This window comes from Homo sapiens, chromosome 5 (genome assembly GCF_000001405.40).
Source record: "Homo sapiens chromosome 5, GRCh38.p14 Primary Assembly".
Classification (NCBI taxonomy): Eukaryota; Metazoa; Chordata; class Mammalia; order Primates; family Hominidae; genus Homo; species Homo sapiens.
The window spans coordinates 137,649,727-137,674,092 of NC_000005.10; the positions used below are offsets into that span (position 1 = coordinate 137,649,727).

Here is a 24,366-nt window from a genome sequence, read left to right on the forward strand (position 1 = left end):
TTATGAAAATCCTATGAGATAACAAATATAAGTCACTTAGCCCAGTGGCTGGCACATGATAAGTGCTCAGTAATTGATATCTGCTGTTATCATTATTGTGGGTACTAGTATCATGTAGTGATTAAAAGCCCAGGCTTTGAGTCAGCCAGACTTGGATTCAAGTCCTCACACTGCCACTTAAGCGCTGTAAAACCCTGGGCAAATCACTCAGTCTTACTCAATCTCACCGATTCTCAGTTGTCTCCAACATTAAAGCCTCCAGAGTTGTAATAAAGACAAAATAAGATAATGGGCATTACATACTTAGGCTAATAATGCAAAGAAGCTGCTCAGTAATTAGTATTTAAACAATACTACTTGTATCATCATCAATACCTTTGGTGATGATGACCAGGACAATGACCCAGGGAAGAAGATGCAAAGTACAAATTATTCTAAGTGGTCACCAGAGGGTGTAAACCAGTTTTCTCCTGCAGTCACCTGAACCAGTTTCTGGATGTTCACTCTCACAGACAATTTGCGTTTTACCTTGGAGACACAGCTCCTGTCAGCTCCTGCAGAAAGCTTTCCTTAACTCCTTACCCCTCTCTGTGCTCCCAGAGTGTTTTTCCTGTACCCCTATGAGGGCATTTACTCACTCCATTGCAATTGTCCTTTCACAACTGTTTCCCCTCCTCCTGGTCTGGGAGTCCCCTGGGGAAGAGACCAGTTCATATCAGCCTTCGTGAATCCAGTACTTACCCCAGTGCCTGGCAATTAGTGGTTTCTCTATGGAAGTATGTTGGATGAGTGAATTAAAAAGTAATGAATTGGCAAGGCACGGTGGCTCATGCCTGTAATCCCAGCACTTTGGGAGGCTGAGGAAGGTGGATCACCAGAGGTCAGGAGTTCGAGACCAGCCTGACCAACATGGTGAAACCCCATCTCTACTAAAAATACAAAAAACGTAGCCGGGCATGGTGGCAGGCGCCTGTAATCCCAGCTACTTGGGTGGCTGAGGCAGGAGAATCGCTTGAACCCAGGAATCAGAGGTTGCAGTGAGCCAAGATCGTGCCATTGCACTCCAGCCTGGGCAACAGGAGCAAAACTCCATCTAAAAAAAAAAAAAAAAAGTAATGAATTAATGCATACATGATTGTTGATAGCTGGATTTCAGATTTAAAAAAAAGAAAGAAAGAAAGAAAAGAAACAAAGAACCTTACAACCCTTCTAACCCCCAGGAACGACAACTGGATTCATTCAAATTTGGACTTGTAGGCTTGAATCAAACATTCTAGGGTCAACCTACATTAGTGGTCAAAGGAGGATATAAAGTAGGATATAAATCCTCACTAAAGCCATGTGAAAACGCAGGTATGAATGCTGATAAGCCCATCAGGAAAAAATGAGGGGTGATATAAATGGTCAGTATTAAGTCTCTATGAGGTTATTTCTTCTTTAAAAATGTATTTCTTTAATTGAGGCCGTGTGCCAAGGACACAGATGAGTAATGCCTGCTGCCATGGAACCTACAGTTGCGTAGAGGAGCTAACACTCTAGAAGAGAGCCCTAAATGCCTGCCTGAGGCATCAGCCTGGGCTACTCAGTAATCTTCTGAAACTACTGTCCTTGTTGTTCAAAAAGCAATGAAGCCATCACCAACCTGACCTCTCCCCCATTAAATAACCTTTCTCATCAATCACATTTCTACCTATCAGCAATAAACAATTAGAAATTGGAATTTCAAAAGAAAACATTTACAATAGCATCTAAAACAATAAAATACCCAGGGATAGATCTAACAAAAGACATGTAAGACCCATAAACTGAAAACTATAAAACACTGATGAGAGAAATTAAAGAAGACCTGCATAAATGGAGTTATGCTGTGTTCATGGATCTAAAGATTTAATATTATTAAGATGGCAGTTCCCCCATTTGATCTAGAGATTCAATACCATTCCAAGCAGAACCCCTACAAGCTTTTTTGTAGATAGACAAGTTGATTCTGAAATTTAATGGAAATGCAAAGGACCTAGACTCACAAAAACAACTTTGAAGAACAAAACTGGAGGACTCATATTGCCTAATTTTAAGACTTACTAGAAAGCTAGTAATCGAGGCAACATAGTATTGGTGTAAAGGTAGACAGATAAAATGGAACAGAAGAGAGTCCAGAAATAGACGAACACATATACAGTCAATTATTTATAACAAAAGTGACAGGGTAATTCAATGGAGAACAGAGAATCTTCCCAATAAATAGTGTGGAACAACTGGACATTCATATGCAAAACAAATGAGCCTTAGACTCTCACCTCATGCACCATATTAAGAACAACAACAAAAAAAAACTTCTCAAAATGGATCCATAGGCCTAAGTGTAAAACCTAAAACTTCTAGAAGAAAGTATAGGAGAAAATCTGTGACTTCAAATTAGGCAAAGATTTTTTATATAGAGCACAAAATAAACCATAACAGAAAAAAATTGAAAAATTAAAAACTTATGCACTTCCAAATACAGTACAGCCACCATGGAAAACAGTGTGGAACTTGCTCAAAAAAATAAAAATAGAACTACCATATAATCCAGCAATCCCACTATTGGGTATATATCCAAAGGAAATGAAATCAGTATGTCAGAGAGATATCTACTCTTGTGTTCACTGCAGCATTAGTTGCAAGAGCCAAGATGTGGAATCAAGCTACATGTCCATCAACAGATGAATGCATAAAGAAACTGTGGTATACATATTTAGTAGAATACTATTTAGCCTTAAAAAAGAAGGAAATCCTGTCATCTGTGACAATATGGATGAACCTGGAGGACATTACGTTAAGTGAAATAAGCAGGGCACAAAAGGACAAATAACATACAATCTCACTCATACGCGGAATCTAAAAAAGTTAAACTCATAGAAGTAGAGAATAGAATGGTGGTTACCAAGGGATAGGGGAAGGGGTTGGCTGGGAAGATGTTGACCAAAGGATATGAAATTTCAGTGAGATGGGAGAAATACCTTCAAGAGATTTATAGTACAACGTGGTGACTATAGTTAATAACAATGTATTATATTCTTGAAAATAGTTAAGAGAATGGATTTTAAGTGTTCTTACCACAAAAAAATAAGTATATGATGTAATACATATGTTAATTAGCTAAATTTAGCCATTCCACAATGTATCTATATTTCAAAACCTCATGTTGTACATGATAAATGCATATAACTTTTGTCAATTAAAAAATTAATTAGTGGCCGGGCGCGGTGGCTCACGTCTGTAATCCCAGCACTTTGGGAGGCTGAGGCAGGCGGATCACGAGGTCAGGAGATTGAGACCATCCTGGCTAACACGGTAAAACCCCGTCTCTACTAAAAATACAAAAAAAAAAAAAATTAGCCGGGCGTGGTGGCAGGCACCTGTAGTCCCAGCTACTCGGGAGGCTGAGGCAGGAGAATGGCATGAACCCGGGAGGCAGAACTTGCAGTGAGCCGTGATTGTGCCACTGCACTCCGGCCTGGGCAACAGAGTAAGACTCCGTCTCAAAAAAAAAATAATAATTAATTAGTTAAAAAACTATCTTCCAAAGATACTGCTAAAAAAATGAAAATATAAGGCACAGGTTGGGAGAAAATATTTGCACAATATATATCTTATTAAAGACTTGTATCCAGAATACATAAAGAATGTTTACAACTCAATAAGAAAACAATAACCCAATTTTTCAAATGGGCAAAATATTTTAATAGACACTTCACCAAAGAAGAAATATGGGTGGCAAATAGGCACATGAGAAAATCTCAACAGCACAGTGATTAGAGAGATGCATATTAAAACCATAGTGAGATACTACCACAGACCTACTAGAATGGCTACAATTTTTAAAAATAGATAATGTCAAGTAGTAGCAGGACTGCAGAATAACTGAAACTCATATATTGCTGGTGGAAATGCATAATAGTATAGCCATTTTAAAAAACAGTTTAGCAATTTCTTATAAAGTTAAACATATACTTACCATACAACCCAGCAATCCTACTCCTAGGTATTTACCCAAGAGAAATTAAAACATATGTCCACACAAAGATCTGTAAGTGAAATCACAGCAGCTTTATTTGTAACAGCCAAAAACTGGATACCCAAATGTCCACCAACTCGTGAATGAATAAACTATGGTCCATCCATACAATGGAATGTTACTTAGTGATAAAAAGGAATGAGCTCCTGATACATGCAACAACGGGGATGAATCTCAAATGCATTATGGTAAGAAAAACAAGCCAAGCTCAAAGGACTACATACAGCATGATTCCATTTATATGACACTCTAGAAAAGGCAAAACCATAGGGACAGAAATCAGATCAGTAGTTGTCAGAGGCTGGGGGTAGAAGAAGAGGATTGACTACAAAGCAGCACATGGAAACTTTTTGTAGTGATTAAAATATTCTATGTTTTGATTGGGATGGTGGTTACATGACTGTGCACTTGTAAAAACTTATCACATTGTATCTCTAAAAAGTGTGAATTTTACTGCATATAAATTATTATACCTCTACTAATCTAAAAGAAAATAATCTCTTTAAACCGCTAACAAAACCTGAAAGCTGTTTCTCAGGAAGCAGTTCGGTGTAAAAGGAAAAGCATGGACTTTGGAGTGAGACAGACCGAACCCCAGCTCTGCACTTAGCCAGTACTTAACTGGGCAAATTTCTTAACCTCTCTGAGTAATCTAAGTAGGGATATGAATAGGACAGACCTATTGCTGTGATGATTTATTAAGACAGTACACGATCTGATAATCCCTAAGTGATCATTTCCCTCAGCATACCCTATTCATTCTTCAAGCCTTCAGTGGGGATCCCCTCACTAATTTAAGTGCTTAAACAATGGTGATGAGAGTATAGTTTAAGAAGCACGTTAGACAACATAACCTTAAATCATTCAAGGATTAAATACAGGAGAACAATGAGACAAAGAGTAGTGATGTCTTCTTTCTTTCTTTCTTTAACAGATTCTAAGGAAGTCATGGTTCCAGTTGCCTGCAGAAGGCCCAGGAATCTAAATGTTTTCATTCAGAAAATAAATGTTTCTTAAGGAGTAGGGATGACAGAAGGATGGCTTTGACCTCCTGAAACAAGGGGTAGACTCTTCTTTCTCAACTATAGATTAAATCCCTGGGATGGAACAGGGGTGATGGTGGAGCAGCTCTCAGCATGCTTAGTCCAGGCTCAGGCACAAACTGGGCTTTAATTTTAAAACTATCTTTTTATGGGTATATGAGGTAAGAGCTAACATGGAGTCCAAAAAAGGAGAGGTCACTAGGTATGGTTTCTACACAAAAAAGCTGGGCCAGTGCTGAACCATTCCCTTAGCTCCAAGCTACACTCCTCAGGCAAAGATGTCATTCTTCTGATATCATAGAGGATGAGAACCAATTTCCAAAGGGAAATGTCACAGACAGAAGACCAGCTGAAAACCCAGGGAAGTAAAAAGGCTAAATAAAAAGCAGCACACTTAGAATCAACATTCTCAAGACATGCAGCTTGTGGAAATTTAGATCATAATAAAGATAGTATTCAAACCAATGGGGGAAGAGGGGAATTAATGAATAAAATAACCTTGAGACAATTGGCTCATCATTTGCAATACCAATAAAACTGAATCCCTGCCCTCACTCCTTACACACAAAAAATAATTCTAAGTGCATCAAAGATTCAAATGTAAAACAAAAATTATAAAGGTACTTGAAGAAAACATGGGGACATTATTTAAATAATTTCAGAGTAAAGAAAATATTTCTAAACATGACACAAAACCCAAGCTATAAAGCAAAAGATAGATCAATTTGACTCCTTAAAAACTGGGGCTTTTTTGGACCAAAAAATTACTATAAACAAGAGGCAAATTGCAAACTAAGAAAAAACATATTTGAAATACATACATTCAAAGGCCTAACCTCTTTCATGTACAAAGAGCCTTTAGAAACTACAAATAAGGCCAGGCACAGTGGCTCACACCTACAATCCCAGCATTTTGGGAGGCCAAGGTGGGTGGACTGCTTGAGCTCAGGAGTTCGAGACCAGCCTAGGCAATAGGCAAAAACCTGTCTCTACAAAAAAATTAAAAGAAAAAAAATTAGCTGGGTGTGTTGGCACACACCTGCAGTCCCAGCTACTTGGGAGGCTGAGGTGGGAGGATCACTTGAGCTTGGAAGATGGAAGCTGAAGTGAGCTGAGATCACTCCACTGCACTCCGGCCTGGGTAGAAGAACAAGACTCTGCCTCAAGAAAAAAAAAAAAAAAAAGGAATAAAAAATATTAATTAAAAAATACAGTCTAATAGAAAAATGAGCCAGGGACATGAACAGAGAATTCTCCAAAATAGAAATACAAATGCCGATAATCATATGAAATCAAGATTAATCTCACTCCCAATGAAAGAAATACGAACTCAAACAATATGCCACCTTTTAAAGGATACTTGACACAGAAATGTTTACATTACAAAAAAAAAAGGAAATTACTGCAAAGCCCATCAGTAGAGGACTGTCCATAATATGCACATAATAGTGCATAAATACAATTAAACACCATGTACCATTACAATTTAAATGCTGATTTCACCTATACTGATAATATTAAAAGCAGTCTGTACCACATGGCTGCATGGGGGGAAAAATAGTTCAATCTGTATAGCAATACACTGTACATTTGTATCTATCTGTGAAAAAGTGCAGAGAGACATGTCTGAAAGAAAATTTTCCAAATAATAGCAGATTTTTTATCCTAGGAGACATTTCAAGTGACTTTTATTTAATTTCAAAATTGTAGTATCCTTTTAATAATCCACAATAAGCACATATGTCTATAATTAAAGAAAGCTAAGTTATTTTCACTTTGAAAAATATGAAGAAGTTTCAATGCAATATTTCAACCAAACAAAACAAAAGGCATCAACCTGCAGTAAGACCAATGTCCAGCCAGACCAAGGCCTTGCCTTGCGGCTGTGCCTTCTTCTAACCTGCACTAGGCAACGTGAGGCCAACAGGCAAGTATGCACTCTCAGGTTTACAAAGGTGAAGCCAGGTGCAGGATGGTATGAGTTCAGAGAACAGGTTTGGAGAGTGATAAAGACTCAGTTCAAATGCTGGTTCTACCACATTAGCTGTGTTGACCTTGGGCAAGTAAATTAACTTCTCTGAAACTCAGTTTCCTCCTTTATAAAACTAGGATAACTATCTCTACCTTGTAGTGTTGTTGAAAAGATTAAGTAAGATATTCAAGTGATAACCTCAGCACTCAATAAAGGTTAGCTGCTTGTATTATTATCTGGGACACTGAGACATTTGTTCACATTGCAACCAATATATTCCCCATGATCCAAGGTCAAGGAGCAGAGGGGAAAGAAGGTCCTGCAAACCTCAGAGAATTCCAACACCTGGTCTTGGAAAACAACATGCCTCTAGCCACTGTGAAACCTTCCTGGAAGAAGCAGGCAGGGAGGATGGCAGCCAGCTGGAAAGAGGAGGAGGAGGACAAAGCAAGGGCCTAAATAATTTCCTGGTGCTGCCTACTGTGTCATCAATGAGACAACACGACCCACTCCTCTCCTCCCACCTTTCCTCCTGGGTTGACTGATTCCTTCCCCCAGACATCAGCATGTTAGACTCCTAAAACGACTACTTTGGTGCCACACCAGACAGGACTTTAGGGATCGAGTGGAGCATCCCTCATTCTATAGATAAGGAGCCTGAGGGTCAGAGAGGAAAGAAGACTCGCAGGGAACCAAAGCAGCCAGCACACACCATAAACTCTAGGTCTCTAGATCATGGGGTCCCCTCCTGTGTCTTCCTTCCCTTTCCCTGGCTGCTCCCTCACAAATTCTCATTTCTCCCATTTCCTTCCTCTGCTTCGTGACCTGTCAAACTCCTCAATTTGACAGGGTCCCTTTTCTTAGAACCCCTTTTCTTCTCTGGGGCAGCCCTAATTGTCCTTTATGTCCTTCCCTGAGTGGGGAAAAGAAACAGACTAGGACTATTCTGACTCAAAGAATGGCCTAGAAAGAGGACTACTATGGCCATCACTAAGTGAAACCAACATAGCCATTCCTCTGCTTCCAACAGAAATAGAGCACAAGCCATGGTGTGAAATGAGAAGTCAGGGTGGGGGTGAGAGGGAGCTCTGAGTTATTCTCAAACCTCCCTGATGACATTGGAGGTTACCTTGAAACTCTTAGGAAAGGAAGACCCCAGAAGAGAGAGGTACCAGCAGATTCAAGAGGAACCAGCAGACTCCATCTCCTAGGTTGTAAATGCAACCAAGATGCAGGGCAGCCATGGGTGAGGAAAGACTTGGAGGCAGGAGTGGAAGGCCACTTTCCCAGGGCACAGTCCTGACTCTTGGTGGTGATTGGGCTGGGGCTTACCTTGGGAAGGCTGACTGGAGTCCTGGGCTTGGTCCTTGGGTTCTTAATCAATAGTCTCTGATCCAGAGGGAGGAGATGGTATTTCATGGCCTCAATGAGGAAGTCTTTACAGGTGTTGTTATTCTTTATCAAAGCTTCTTCTTCAACCGTCTAGAGGTAATAATCCACAGATGATCCTGGAGCACAGCTCAGCCACATTTCCCAAGCTTTCACCCTGGGCTCAGTCATTCCTGCACTCCCACACTCATTCATTCCTTCACCACATCATCTCAGACCCAAAGAGTTACAACTTACTGCTCACCTCCTGCATTTTAAGAGCACAGTGGGATAAGGGATCAAGCTCTGGCATTAGACCAGATCCACTACTTAACGTCTCTGATCCTCAGTTTCCTCATCTGTAAAATGGGCATATTAAAGGTATCTACAACCTCACTAGTTTTGTTTGTTTTGAGGCTTAAATGAGTTTATGCAAAACAAAAGACAAGTAGCCATCCTGAAAGCCTCTAACCACATTTCTCCTGATTTGAATGCATTATAATGCTTAGGGCAAACAGACATCTGAGAGGAGGAGTGAGGGGAAAGAGGAAAGGGTGTGGGAGCCATCAGCCAACCTTTGGAGGCATTGAGTAAAATAAGCTTGTCAAGGAGAAAGATTCATATTCGTTGTCTTATAGTGAAGGTCTCAGGGCAGAAAATCGGCCAGTGAGGCTCCTTCTAACAGAGTAACAACATCAGAGCAGAAAAATTACCCTGCACAAAGTCCCACCTATTGACCTCACCTAGGACTCCATCTAAGCTGGGGCTCTGGCTTCTTTATCTCTTATTCCAGAGCTTAGGACCTAAGCAGGTGCTCAGCACATGTAAGCCTAAAGGTTTCATGAGCAAGACCAAGCATGAAGCCATTCTGGTGCTCTAACTCTCCAATCCCCACCTTTTGGCCCAGGTCAGATCACTGTGTGGCATATCTGGAATGGGTAATGTGGTCTTCTGGGGCTGCTTTGTGTTAGGAAAGATCAATTCCATTCAACAGCTAACACTGATTGAATGTCTCCTGGTTGGGCAGCCCTGTGCTGGTCCCCAGGAAGAAAATGATGAACAAGACAAAATTTCTGACCCTGAAGAATTCAAGTCCAGTCAGAGAATGAGAAGGGCCTCCCACCTCAATTATCTCAGCCCTCAAGTCAGTGATGCACAAGGCATGACTGAGCCTCTCCTGGGTCCCCATCTGTCACTAGGAATGAAAGCATGGCCAGGGCCATCATCTGCTGGGCAGCATTGGAGCTGGCAGGGAAAAAAGGATTGGCAAGAGAAGGCCTCTGTGTACCTCTGACCACCTCCCTCCCCAGAGACAGTCCCCAAGAACTGTTTTCCTTGGAAGGTTTTTTTTTCCCCTCCCAGTAAGGAACTGAGCCAGCTTGAGACAAATCATAAACTTCTAGGGTCAATTACAAAATAAAAAGGGTGGGAGAGGATGCCTGAAAAAGCTTGGAAGGAAGGAGAAATGCATGAGCAGCTATTTCTCCAGAAGAACTTACTCAGCTTGAATTAAAAGTTCTCCTGGAAAGTTAGTGCTTCATGGGTACAAGAGTTTCAACTTTGGGGGTGATGACAAAGTTTTGGAAATCTTTATAGTAATGGTTGTACTGAATTTGAATGTAATGAATGCCTCTAAATTGTACACTTAAAATGGTTAAAATAACAAAGTTTATGTAATAAACATTTTATCACAACATATTATACATTTAGTACAATATTTTTAAATGCTGAGTAAAAGCCTAATAAATGCTACCTTTTGTGAAAGAAAAAAAAACCTCCCCCAGAAGTCAGGCAGTGTTGGTGGAGGTCTGCCCAGGGCTTTCCCTTCCTTCTCCTCCTCCTCCTCCACCACCATCAGCCATCCCAGCAATTATACTCATTTGAAGTTTCAAAGTCAAATGAATGTAATGAAACATCCTATTCCAGAGGTGTTCACTCTGAGAGGCCTGATAAAAGGCCTTTCTGCAAAAAGGGCAAAGGGAGGAGTCCCACACAACAGTTCTCATGCCCATTGCCTCTGACCCCCTTCTTTTCCAGATCTAAATTCTGCTTTGGCATAATAACCCAGGAGCCATTTCCTAATGGTGACGTTTGTTAAGCTTCAGTTGTGGATGCCTGATGAAGTTTGTGACCAACGGTCTCTAAGGCCACTTTAGCTTTCTCTGGAACCCAGGTCCCCAGGTTGCCAACCCTCCCTGTGGAAGCGAGACTATACTGGAGTCCAGGTGCCTCCTCCACCTCCAGCCAGCTTCCCACAGGACAGTGGGAGGTTTGACTGACACTGGATGCTCAGGCAAGTTCACTTCCTCCGCTTAGGGGACCTTTTCTACAGGAAAGATATGCTGCCACCAGGTGGCAGTGGTATCACCCAAAGTAGCATGCATGCCCCATTTAAGAGCTTGCAAGCATATCCCTCAGCACCTGAGAAGGCTGAAGTACGGCGATTCAGGGAACATTTCACTGACCCCTCATATCTGCAATCTACAAGTGTTACCAGCAGACGAGTTTACAAGTGCTCGTGAGGATACTGTGTCACCTGCTACTAAGAATCACAGCAGTGGTCACAAAGACTACAGAGTAAGATCAGTAACATTCACTGAACACTGTATTATAGGCCTACATGGATTATCTCATTTTATTGTTTATCCCCAAACAATCCTATAAAGGCAAGTGCCATTTTTTCCCGGTAAGAAAACTGAGGTTTAAAAAGGTTAAGCATGTACCCAGTATTATATGGCTGGAAAGTAACAAGAGCTGGGCTGCTGGGCTGCTAGGCTGCTAAACCTCCTCTTTATCCTTGCATCATATCTTCCCTTCCTTCCAGAGACTCCTTGGAGACAGCTGAGGGCTAACCTGCTGTCTCGATGTTTTGTTTTGTTCATATATTTTAAGGTTTATTCTCTGCTTATAAAAGTGTCTAATGCCATTTACTGTATAAAATAAGTCACGTAATGGGTATGCAGAAAAGAGCGTATCAATGGTGGCAGCTAGCTTAGCGGAAGAACTATGCACTGCAGAGCCAGAATGACATGGATTTGAATCCTGAGCCTCTCTAAGGCTAGTGACCCCGATAAATCCCAACCTCCATAAGCCTCAAGGCCTACATGTGTAAAAAAAGGAGTTACAATCTTTGCCCCTCTGGGTTATTATAAGGATTAAACGAGAAAACATATGGCACCATAAGGAAACCCCATAATTCTTAATTTTTCTTTCCTTTTCAGAGGAAGTGGAAGTACTCTGTATTCTAGGCACCGTTTTTACAGTCTTGAATTTGGCTTCAAGTTGCCTAAAACTAAGACATAAAGGGAACATAGAAACATTGTGGACATGACCCTTCTTGCTTCAGTCCTCTTCAACAAAGACAGCTAACTTTCATGGAACATTTGTTACCCCAGGCTCCACACGAAGCAGCTGACTTGCATACTCTACTCCTTTAGTCCTCACAACAACCCTGCTGGGCTCTACTATAATATCTGTTCTATGGAAGAAAAACTGAGGCTTGAAGAGGTTAAATAAAAATCCAAAACTAATAAGCAGCAGAGCAGAGACTGAAACCTAAGTGTCCTATTTTCAAGCCTATGCTCTTAAACTTTACAACACCTAACACTTAACCCAGTGGGCTGGTTCCCTCAGCACATACAGAAGACCCACTAAACCCTCAACTACTCCATCCAACCAGGATTGCCCATTGCTATTCCTACAGGTCTGGGTGAACACAGAAGTGCTTGGCTCTTCATACAACACTCACTTGGACTAGGTAGTCCCTAGGTAAGAGAGGAAGTCGGACATGTTCCATCAGCTTTGCCATGTGCTCTAAACGGGTTTCTTTCTCATAATTGATCCATGAGATCACAGCTTCAAACACCTATAAAGAAAAGCAACATGGGCAACTTCAGTAAAGAGACAAAAGCTTTCAAACAACCCTCAATCTGTAAAAAAAAAAAAAAAAGAGAGAGAGAAAAAGTTATGAGTCATCCACAAAGGTGTTTAATTAATCTGAGACTCATATTTAAAATAAAAACAGAAAGGGTTTGTTTACTTGCTGGCCTCAGAGAGTGATCACACACACACTCTACACACACACACACACACACACACACACACACACACACACACACAAGGACAAACCTGCTATCCCAAATGTAGAATCATCATGGTTCATTCTAAAATAAAAACCAGTTCCAATAGTTTTTTAAGGGTAAAAATACAGAGCAGTAACTGTGAACCAAATTTATAGAGGCTGCTCAGGAAGATCAGACCCTGGGGGCAATGTCGTCATCTCCCCATGCCCCCGTTTCCTCACTTATGTCCCGTGTAAAGTTAATGTAGAATAAAAACAGTAAGAATGCCCTCTGCCCAAAGCTGGCTGTGATGGTCAATGTGACACTGAATGACAAGGAATGGCAAACATTTCTCCTTGAGGAGAGATTTCATTTCTATGCAAATCAAAACTGGAGGGCTTAGAACCAAAAAGGCAGACCTATACTTTGGATGTTCACTCTACTCAAGGATAAGTCCAAATTCAAACCCTGTGCCACCACATACACATAGGCAGATAAAATTCAACGTTGGAGGGGCAATGGGGAAACCAGCAGTGTCTGTAAAAATTTCATTAATAATGATTTTTAAGAGGGGAGGGAAGTATTGGCAATATCGATCAAAATTTTAAATGTGCATTCTCGTTGACTTTAAAAATACCACTTCTAGAGCTCTAGCTTATACTCACATCAGTGTAAGAGAACAGAATATGTGCTCCAATATCTTTGCTGCAGCATGGTTGTAAAGGGATAAAAAAATGAAACAACCTAAAGTCCACTAATAGAGAAATTATTAAAGGAGTATCCATACCATTAGATACAGTTATCCCTCAGTATCCTTGAGCACTCGTTCTTTTTTTTTTTTTTTTTTTTTTTTTGGTTCTTACTCTGTCGCATAGGCTGGAGTGCAGTGGCACGATCTTGGCTCACTGCAACCTCCACCTCCCGGGTTAAGTGATTCTCCCGTCTCAGCCTCCCTAGTAGCTGGGATTACAGGTGTACACCACTACACCCGGCTAATTTTTGTATTTTTAGTAGAGACGGGGTTTCACCATATTGGCCAGGCTGGTCTCAAACTCCTGACCTCAAGTGATCCGCCTGCCTTAGCCTCCCAAAGTGCTGGGATTACAAGCGTGAGCCACCAGCCCCAGCCCCAGGGCACTGGTTCTATGACCACCCACAGATACCAACATCTGCCAATGCTCAAGTCCCTTATATAAAATGGCATAGTATTTGCACATAACCTCCGCACATCCTCCCATATACTTTAAATCATCCTCCCATATACTTTAAATACTTTAAATATATATATTTAAAGTATGTTAATAATAAATATACTTTAAATAATTATATAAGATTGCTTATAATACCTAATATAATACCCATACATCACTTCATGCAAGTGGATATGATGTAGTACTTGGTGTTGCAGCAAATTCAAATTTTGCTTTTCGCAACTTTATGGAATTTTTTTCTTCTGAATATTTCCTTAGTTGAATCCCTGGATATGGAACTCACGGATACAGAGTGCCAACTCTATTTTCGCTATTAAAAAGAATAAAGCAAACATCTTATACGTGATTAAAGAAGACATGTCAAAAAGAGCCAGCTGGATGGGGCTTTCAATGCCAATATTTGGGACAATTTAAATATCAGTGAGAATAATGAAGAAATCACATCAGTGCTGCCTCTTTGAGGGGAAGGAGGGTCAGGGAATGGCTGAAAAAGGTTCAAAGGAAACCTTTTGTGGTTTAGGGTGGGCATTACATGGGCATATACATGTGTCAAAACTAACCAAATTGTGTATTTAATATCCATATACCTCAATATAAAATATTCTTAATTTTTTTTTAAAAATTATAATATGGCCAGGTATGGTGGCTCACACCTATAATCCCAACATTTTGGGAGGCCAAGGCAGGCAGATTGCTTGAGCCCAGGAGTTCAAGACCAGCCTGGGCAACATGGCAAAACCCTATCTCTACAAGATACAAAAATCAGCCAGGCATGGTGGTGCATGCCTATAGTCCCAGCTACTAGTGAGGTTGAGGTGGGAGAACTGCTTGAGCCTGGGAGGTCGAGCCTACAGTGTGCCATGAGTGTACCACTGTACTCCAATCTGGGAGACGAAGTGAGACCCTGTCTCAAAAAAAAAAATTAAAAAAAATAATTCATGCGCCCATATGGATACTAAAAAAGTGTAAGAAGGTCTCTTATATCCAAAAAAAAATGCCTGTAAAAGGAATGACGGAATTAGAAAAACACCATTTCTGCAATACCACCAATGTAATAACTGATTGAACAAAGATCACCAATGGATGCTAAAATCGAAAGTTGTTAAAGGCCAGGTGCAGTGGCTTACACTGGTAATCCCAGCCCTTTGGGAGGCCAAGGTGGGAGCCCAGGAGTTTGAGACCAGCCTGAGAAACTTAGCAAGACCCCATCTCTACTACAAAAAAAAAAAATCAGTCAGGCATGGTGGCACGTGTCTGTAGTCCCAGCTGCTTGAGAGGCTGAGGCAGGAGGATCACTTGGTCCCAGGAGGTGGAAGCTGCAGTGAGCTGTAACCATGCCACTGCACTCCAGCCCGGGCAACACAGCAAGAGCCTATCTTTAAAAAAATAATAATAATAAAGTTGTTGGATGGGGAAAGAGTCACAATTCTCAAAGAATCACCCAACAGATTACATACTATTTACATGGAGGGAAAATATCCTCAAATAGAGAGATCTGATAGACAACACCTTAAACAAGGGACCAAATTTACCACCACCCATAAGAGGACAAACTTATATTCCTGATTGTGATTTAATTGAAAAGACACAGTATCTCCTAAGTACAATTCTTCCTAAAATATTAATATATAACCTGAATCTTACGGTGAGGAAACGATCAGACAACTCTATGTTTGCAACATTCTATAGGACGGCTGGCCTGGATTTTCAAAATTGTTAATATTATGGAAGACAAAAAAAGGTAGGGAGACAGTTCTAGATTAGAGAGATTTATAGACAAGGCAACTAAATGCCGTGCATAAACCATAATTAGATTATGGCTCTAAAAGAAATAGCCATAAATGACTTTTGGGGGACTAGTAAGAAAATATGACTATCCACTATATGTTAGATAATATTCCTAGATCAATATTAAATTTCATTGGTATGATAATTGGTTTTATGGCTAGAAAAGAGAATTTCCTCGTTCTTAAGAGATACATGCTAAAATATTTAGGGGTGAAGTGTCATAATGTCTGCAATTTACTGTCAAATGATTAAGCAAAATGAAAGATTAAGTCTAGAGAGATAAAGTAAATGAAGCAAAATGTTAATGGTGAGTTTAGGTAAAGACTACATGAATGTTCATTCTTTCAAACCTACAGTAGGTTTTTAATTTTTCAGAATAAGCAGTGTAAGAGAGAAGAAAAGAAATTCTAAGGAAAAAAACTACAACAAAATTTATAGGATGGCAGAAAGTTGAAATGAAAGCTTTATCTGCCAGGAGGAAAAAAGGACTCCAATTTTTCTTAACCTAAGTACATTTTTTTTGTGCAAATATGTTAATGTGCTTTTCCCCTAAAACACTTGGCCCTGTTTTCTAATTATATACTTAAGTCAGGCTGGACATAACTTGAATTTGGCAAGGAAAGGAAAGGGAAGGGGAAAGGGGAAGGGAAAGGGAAAGGAAGGGAAGGGAGCAGAAAAGGAAAGGAGTAGTATGTATGTATAGTTTGCTCCTATTTCTATATCAAATAACCTATATGTGTACAAACATAAGCACATACACCATAGAAATCCCTGTCTAGTTCATTTTTTATTAGGAACTCTTATCGAGCTATGTCCCTCATCCTCACAGCATTGTTTGAACGACTATGTTTCTTCCACTAGCCCTTAAGATCCATGAGAGACCTTGTCTTATTTGCTGGCACATAACACAAACTCAAATATTTTTTAAGTGAATGAATGGAAAATGAGTTCAGAATAAGCATGGAAGGAGATGTGTGGAAGCTGCCCAGGCTGGAGCAGAGAGCAGGGCTGGGGAACAAGGGGTTGGAATCTTAGTGGGTAAGGCAGAGTCAAAGGCAGATAGTCTGCCTTTGCCAGGTTAGGTGATGGGCAGCCACAACCCCATTCTGCCTTGTATGTGGTTGGTTAGCCACACCTCTTTCTACTTCCCTTTATAGACTGTGAGCCTATGCAGAGTGAGAAGTGTACCAGCTCTGTCTCTGCACGCCATCTCCCAATGCTGCCTAGCACAACACAAGGTAACTGATTGGCAAAGCTTAGCTGAAGAATGAACTACAAGTCCTTAAGCGGGTAGCATTTATTGATCACATTCTTCCCCATCAACCAGCTTAATTTTTGTTATAAAAACAAAAAAGCAAGCTGAATCTACCAAAGTCGATATTTAACCTTATCTTTATTTTTGGCTTCACTTGTGTAACTAGTTCCACTTAGTCACACTGTTTATCTACTCAGCTATGAAAGCCACAGCATTCGGCAACAACAGTGACCTTCTCAGCAGCTAGAGAAGGCCACATATTTTTTTCATTCAGACTTCATGCTTGAAAAATAAACAAGCAAATAAACTTCCAACTTGCTTTAGCTTTCAATGTACCCAAAATGGTTCCCAATAACCCTTCCCACCAAGGGACTCTCCATAAACATCGCCTCCCCAAATTCTCAAGATAACCCAATGATTAAATACTCTTAAGCCTTATTAAATGACTTGCCCAAGTCCCAGAACTAAAAAGAAGCAGAGCCAGCTCTGCTTGGTTACATACAAAACCAACTTCAGTGCTTATGCTCTAAATCCATTATTCTTAGCTGACTCTCAAATGTCTAATAGGTCTAATAGCAGGGGGGTTGCAAACTGCTGCCCACAGGCCAAATCCAGCCTGCCACCTGTTTTGGTAAATAAAATTATGTTGGAAGGCAGCCACACTCATCGTTTACATATTGTCTATGGCTGCTTTCACATTACAGTAGCAGAGTTGAGAAGCCACGACAACATAAAGCCTAAAATATTTACTATCTGGCCCTTCCTAGAAAAAGTTTGTCAACCCCTGGTCTATAAAATCTAAGCAGAGACTATAGATTCAATCATAGGATAGGGTGATATCTACTTAGCTACTACTTTTTGTGATGAAATAATCAGCTGCTCATAGGTACACTTAGGGTTTCACTTTTTAAACAAAGAAATAGCCCCATTTCCTCACTGATTAATGTCCTAGAACCAATTTCTTGCATGCTACAAGACTGTCAAGTGGAAAGGAGTTGGAGAAAATCAGATTCCATAGCTCCCAGCTCACCACACTTCAGATGTAAGCACAGGTCTTGGCCAGAGAATACCAGATGAATCCAGACCTTCCACTCCAACACTCTGGACAGACAGGCAGCCAAGCTAGGCTGGACTTGCACACCCCAAGGAAAATGAGGAGTCCTGGGGTACTTTCCCTGCTTTCAAAATGTGTTTTGAAGATCAAGAAGCACTCCAGTTAAAAAGGCAGGGCACTGACTTGGCAAGGGGAGAAGTTCAATTGGGAGCAATTCTCAGCAAAACATAGGAAGAAGAGAAAGACGCTAATTTTGACAATATCAGGGAAAAAAAACTAGGTTCCTATACATGGACCTGAATTGTTACTCAATCTGAGAAGGACTAACTTTATTAATAACAACAAGCACAGTGCTAGGCATTTTACACATATGATCTCATTTAATCCACCAACAATCTCTGTGAAGTAGGTGTCACTGCTCACATTTTACAGATGAGGAAACAGCCTGAGAGAGGTTAGCAAGCTGTACAAGGTCACACTGCCAGGAAGAATAGATCTGATGTGAATTCACCTCTAACTCCAAAAACCCATGCTCAAACATTATGCAATTTGCATCTCAGAGACACAATTAATTTTAAAAACCTAGGCCAGGCAAGGTGGCTCACACCTGTAATCCCAGTACTGTGGGAGGCCGAGGAGGCCAAGGTGGGCGGATCACGAAGTCAAGAGATTGAGACCATCCTGGCCAACACAGCGAAACTCCATCTCTACTAAAAACACAAAAATTAGCTGGGCGTGGTGGCGCACACCTGTGGTCCCCAGCTACTCAGAAGGCTGAGGCAGGAAAATCGCTTGAACCCAGGAGGCGGACGTTGCAGTGAGCCGAGATTGCACCGCTGCACTCCAGCCTGGTGACAGAGAGAGACTCTGTCTCAAAACAAACAAACAAAAAAAACCCTGGGCAGACTGTTGAGTTGGGGAACTAACTTCCTAAACCTATAATCCTAATTACAATCCTCCACGCCCTCCTGGGACACCTCCCCTAGGTCTCCTATTCCTTTCCCAGGGATTGAGGCAATACCATTTACCAAATCTCCTGCCATGCTTTTAAATCAAGAAGATAGTGCTTCTAGACAAAAGAATGATTCTGTTGGATTCCTGTTTTTGTTTCTTAAATGAAAGCTTAACAAGACTTGTGTTAAGCATACTCTCACCTCATTGCCACACACAACTCCAGGGACAACTGGGAGCAGTGGTGTGCGGCAATTGGAGCTCACTGTGCACGTCTCTTCCTAACTCCACGTTTAGTGACATTACACTGGTAGTTGAAGTCAGCCTTGATGAAAATATTTACACCATGGAAATCAGCAAATGAATCAACAGATGAATCAGGGCTTTTAGAATGTTTTTTAGCGAGCCAGTTGTTAAACATTTACCAGCACACCACTGGCTGAGCGATGTCCTGGTCTGAAGTCTCCCTAGAAACCTACCCAGTTGAATTCTTCTTTCTGACCATACCATCACCATTTCACACAACACTTAAAAGCTCTTTCTTGTAGTTGCTTCATTTCAGATTCACAAGGACCCTGTGAAACTGCTAGTCATTTGCAAAAGGAGAAAGTAAGGCAGAGAGAGACGAAGTCATTTGCCTGACATTACCCAACAAATTAGTGAGAAGACAGCAATTAGAACCACTGATTTCAATCCACACTTTCACAGCACACTGCACATTTCATTCATACCACATCTCTCATTTTATAGCTATATATTTGTGCATATATTTGATAAAATATCTCTCCTCTATGTGAATATAAGTTCTGCAAAGGCAGGTATCTTGTTTTGATCTGTTTGCCAATGTCTCTCCTGTGACTAATACGCTACCTGCCACACAGAGAAATATTTCTTAATAGGATGAATAAATTAATAAAAGCATGAATGAATGTATGTATGGTTCTCTTCCTACAGCAGCACACTGCCAGATATCTGACTTCAGATAACCAAAAATGATGAAAAAATTAAAACGGTAACATCACTTGGCCTGGAAATTGTTCTTCAGCTTTCTATTACTACCTACAGCCAGTAAAAAAGACTTTCACTATGAGTCCACAAAGAATAAGAAAAGGACTGAAGCACAATGGTTTGATAGAAACGTCTACAAGCTGAGAGACGTCAGTGGTACTAATCCTAACCATGAGTGCAGGATGACATACGGATGGAGAATGTCTGCCAGTCAATATGGTAGACTGAGCTGCTCTGGAAGGAATCTTTCCCTGTAGCTCCAAACACGTGAGCATGATGTATTACAGAAAAAATAAAGATTTGAGCCATACGCAAAAGCAAGAAGAAAATGCCTGAGTGTTTTAAATAAGAAGGAATTCAATCCGGGCAGCTGAGTGGAAATTGAAGCCAAAATGGCTCACAGAGACAATTCAGATATGGGCTTTAATTGAGGACTGGTGTCCCATTGGGTAGGGTGCCTAGGCCACAGGCTCCTGTGGACAGATTTGCCCCAGCTGTAAAACTAAGACTAGATGAACTCTGCCCATGTGCTATGAGTAAGGGGAAGGAAGCTCGCCATCTCCTGTGGGCTGAGGAACGCAGTGGCGTGGGAGGCAAGGGAGAAGGGAAAGACAGGGAGTAAAATCTACATCTTCAAGAAACCCAAACCCTAGACTCATGCCACATAAAAATTGAGAGTTTGAACTGACATCACCCAGGTGGTATGGGAAATATCTAAGACAATATCTAATACAAAAACTGTTTCCTAAACCAGTAAACCTGCCCTACAGGGTCCACAGCCCAGGGCAACCTAGATTCCCAGGATATGACATCCTCTGAACATGAAGTCACAATCAAAAATTATAATTCATTTTGGAAATGAATTACCAAAAGACATATCAAAGATGCAAAAAATAGTAGAATATCTGGGACAACCAATGAAAGGTGGCTTAAAGACTCTACTCTATAATGTGTTCCTAAGGATACTAGATGCAGGAGATATTCTGTAGTAAAGGGGCTCAGGGGCCAAATGAGCCTAAGAAACACATCATACTGTATCCTCAAATATCCCTTAAAGGTTCACAAAGCTCATTACCATATAAAAGCTCTGACAACTCCTGTAGTAAAGAAACCTGGTTACTTTGTTCAGCCAGTGTCTCCTAAATGTATCTGACCTGAGAATGCTTAAAACAAACAAACAAACAAAAAAACCTGGCCAAGTGCTGTGGCTCACGCCTGTAATCCCAGCACTTTGCGAGGCTGAGGCAGGCGGATCATGAGGTCAGGAGTTCAAGACTAGCCTGACCAATATGATGAAACCCCGTCTCTACTAAAAATACAAAAAAAAAAATAGCCGTAAGTGGTGGCGGGCACCTGTAATCCCAGCTACTGAGGAGGCTGAGGCAGGAGAAACGCTTGAACCTGGGAAGCGGAGGTTGCAGTGAGCCGAGATCGTGCCACTGCACTCCAGCCTGGGCAAAGAGCGAGACTCCACCTCAAAAAAAAAAAAAAACAACAACAAAAAAGCCCCAAACACCTATAAACATCTTGTAATACTGTGTCTTTATGGGATACAGTTAAGCAAATACTGACCTGAAGAAGAAAGCTCTCACTCCTTAAATCTCTTCACAGACTCCTACCCCACTCCCAGCCTCATTTCCCACCATTCTCCACGGTCCTTGATTCTTATCACAGAGTTTACTTTTCTCCCCAGGTACGAGCTATTCCAAACTTCCAAGTCTTTAGTAGGAATAGTCCTACTATTCCTCCAACCTAAATGGCTTTCCAAAATTCTACCCTCATTCACCAAAGTTTAACTCAAAGACTCTCTTTTCCATGATGTCTTTCCTATACAACAACCTGGAATAAAATATTCCAGGTACTTTCCTTGAACTATAATTATAAGCAATTATTTCTCTTGGCCACGTACTATGGACACATGTTTTCAGTCCGTCTGCCCACCAGTCTATGAGCCCCTGAATAGAAATGACTACCTGTCACTCATCTCTGTACCCCTCATCAGGGTGGGGGTGCATTCATAAAGAGTGGGGCTTGGGAGGCAGACACACACAGCTTCACATCATGGAGCTATCTACGGTTAATGAGCTGTGTCACCTCTCTGAACCTTAGTTTCTTCGTCTGCAAAATGAAGACAATAATCTCTGCCTTGCAACTTGTTGTGAGGATTAGAAATGATGTTCTCTGAATGTCATGCTGGACAGGAAAAAATCAGACACAAAAGCACACACGCACCACTGTTCAATTTATATAAGCTTCCAAAATGGGTAAAACTCACCTAAGGTGTGAGAAGCCAAGAAGGTAGGTGCCCTTCCCAGGGTAGGGAGTAGTAACTGGAAGGGGGTTCTGGGGTTTGTTTCTTGACCTGGGTGCTAGTTATGTGGGTGTTTTACTTCGTAAAAAGTTTAGTTGTATACTTGATTTGTTTACTTCTCCATGAACTTACTTCAATACAAACTTCCTGTTTAAAAAAAAAATGATGAGTGAAACATACCTGGAGAACACTGGTTGGTCATGGTAGATTTGGGGGCACGGTGCTGTCATATTCTGTGCATGGGTAGTTATTGAATTCCACCATCCAAAGGAGAACAGTAAAAAGAGTAACGCCAAGGTAGGGCGTTAACAGATCACTGTTGTTGGCAAGCTGAGAAGCTGGCAACTCTGATAACCTCAGAGTAAGGCAGGGCTGCCAACAGCTCGGCCTAGGCAGCAGGGTACACCTGCTCAGTCACCTGGCAATGCCTCGGCAGCAATCATGCAAGCCCAGCCCACCGGCCAAGGCTCTCCAGCCTGCCTCCCACAGCCTGCCTCCCACAACCACCTTGCTGGAAAGGCAAGGAATTCAGACAGAAGGGCATGGAACACCAATGATCCTGGGAGACAAGGGCCCAGTCCCTCCCAAGAAATAAGATATCAAAATTTGGTCTCTAAAATGCAGTTTAAGGAGACAACAGCGCATTTTAAAATGTGATAATGCAAAGAGAAGTAACCTATAGTTCTTATTCCAGAACATACTTAACACTAATTTTTTAAAAAGACTTAATAAATTTCTTCCTGACCGGTATCTAAAATGCAGGCCATTTCCCTGTTAAGACTCACTCAGAGGTGTCTCTGAAAAGCCTCAATAGTGTTTCATAAGAAGGCAAGAGATCTTGAGATGGAGACATATATTTACCAGCTAGGAAAGCCAAAATTCAAAGAAGTCCAGTAACTTGCTAGGTCCCACAGCAATTCAACAGCAAAACTGCACTCGAACTCAGGAGTCATATCTCTTTCCTTAGAGTGGGTTTGTCCCAGAAGGTTGTTTATTCTGCCCCTGGGTCACTGGGTCACTGAGGATGTTCATGGCCAGAGCTGAACTTTGTGTCTCAAGGGGAAATACAATAAACATGCCGTCAGCTCACAGGCTTAGCCCTAACCCCTCAACACCCACCATGTGGAAGAATCAGATGCCTGGCTTTAATCTTCTTGTCTCTATCCTCAGGGTAGTGGAGTGTATGATAGATGCACCTGACAGCAATAACTTAAGCATACCCTGAGAATGACTCTACGGTCTAAGAAGAATGTGTGTTCAGTGTTCCACGCTAAGGAATCAAGAACCTGGAGATTCATTCCTTATCTATGAGGAACATCTGAACCCCAGCCCATCCTGGGAAATGCAGGCCATATAGGGGATTGAGGCCCTTTGTTTTGTGTTAAATGAAGGTTGCCAGGTGAAGGTCACCAGCAGGAGGGTGTTAAGTGAAAATGCTATATAAACTGCATGCATTTTACAAGCAGTTGCAATTTCCTGTCCAGCCTGCCACCACTGGACAGCCCTGTACGTAAGTGCCCTCAATAAACCCTATGTCTTGTTCGCTGCCTCCGGGCCTCTTCTTCAACCTCTTGAACATGATGCCATCCCTATTGAAGTTAATAGGGGTCTGGCATGACATGAGGAAGGGGAAGGTCCTACACAATGAACTAGTGATTTTGTGTGACTCCCATCACATCCATTTGACCTCTCTCAATAACAAGAATTCTAAAATAAAAACCACATGAAGGAAAAACAAGAGCAAAAATGGCAAGGATTCATGCCCTCCCCTACCCTCTAATTCCCCTATCTGTCCTTACTCTCTAGAAAACTGTTAAAATTATTCCCATAACCTCAGCTGGCTCAGTGCAAACTCCAGCCCCAGTGTACCTCAATCCCTTGGGGGACATCTGCTGAGTCCTTCCGTGGCACCTCCTGGGGCACTGAGTCAGGTACTGCATGTGATACAAAGATGACTAAGGTACCCTCACAGCCCTCAAGGCATCTGAGGGCAGTAGAGGAGATAAGGAATGGGCAAAAGCAAGTGATGCTGGAAGAACAGTCTCTGAGCTCTGGGAGGGGCCCAGGCAGGGCTGGGGACACTGGGGAGCATGAGGTCACAACCACTCTCTGACCCTGCTAGGCACTGGGGCCCCAGGTCATGCCAACAACCCAGACCAACATGGGCACTGGGAAGACTCCCCCTTAGGAAAGGCTCCAGTCAACAGTTATGACTACTACTAGGAGCAGTACTAGTAGTAATAACCATAATAATAGCAGCAATAACAACAGTATCTTACAGTAATGA

General features: G+C 41.4%; 1 protein-coding gene across 3 annotated transcripts in view; it reads right to left on the reverse strand.

The window, feature by feature from the left end:
• The window catches only part of KLHL3 (kelch like family member 3), a 118,590-nt gene that overhangs the window by 32,227 nt on the left and 61,997 nt on the right, over positions 1-24,366 (reverse strand). For all 3 annotated transcript variants that reach the window (NM_017415.3, NM_001257194.1, NM_001257195.2), the window contains 2 exons: positions 12,189-12,305; positions 8,405-8,554 (listed from right to left, as the gene is read on the reverse strand). In NM_017415.3, coding sequence (NP_059111.2) covers positions 8,405-8,554; positions 12,189-12,305 — 267 coding nt within the window. The remainder of the gene's footprint in view (positions 1-8,404; positions 8,555-12,188; positions 12,306-24,366) is intronic.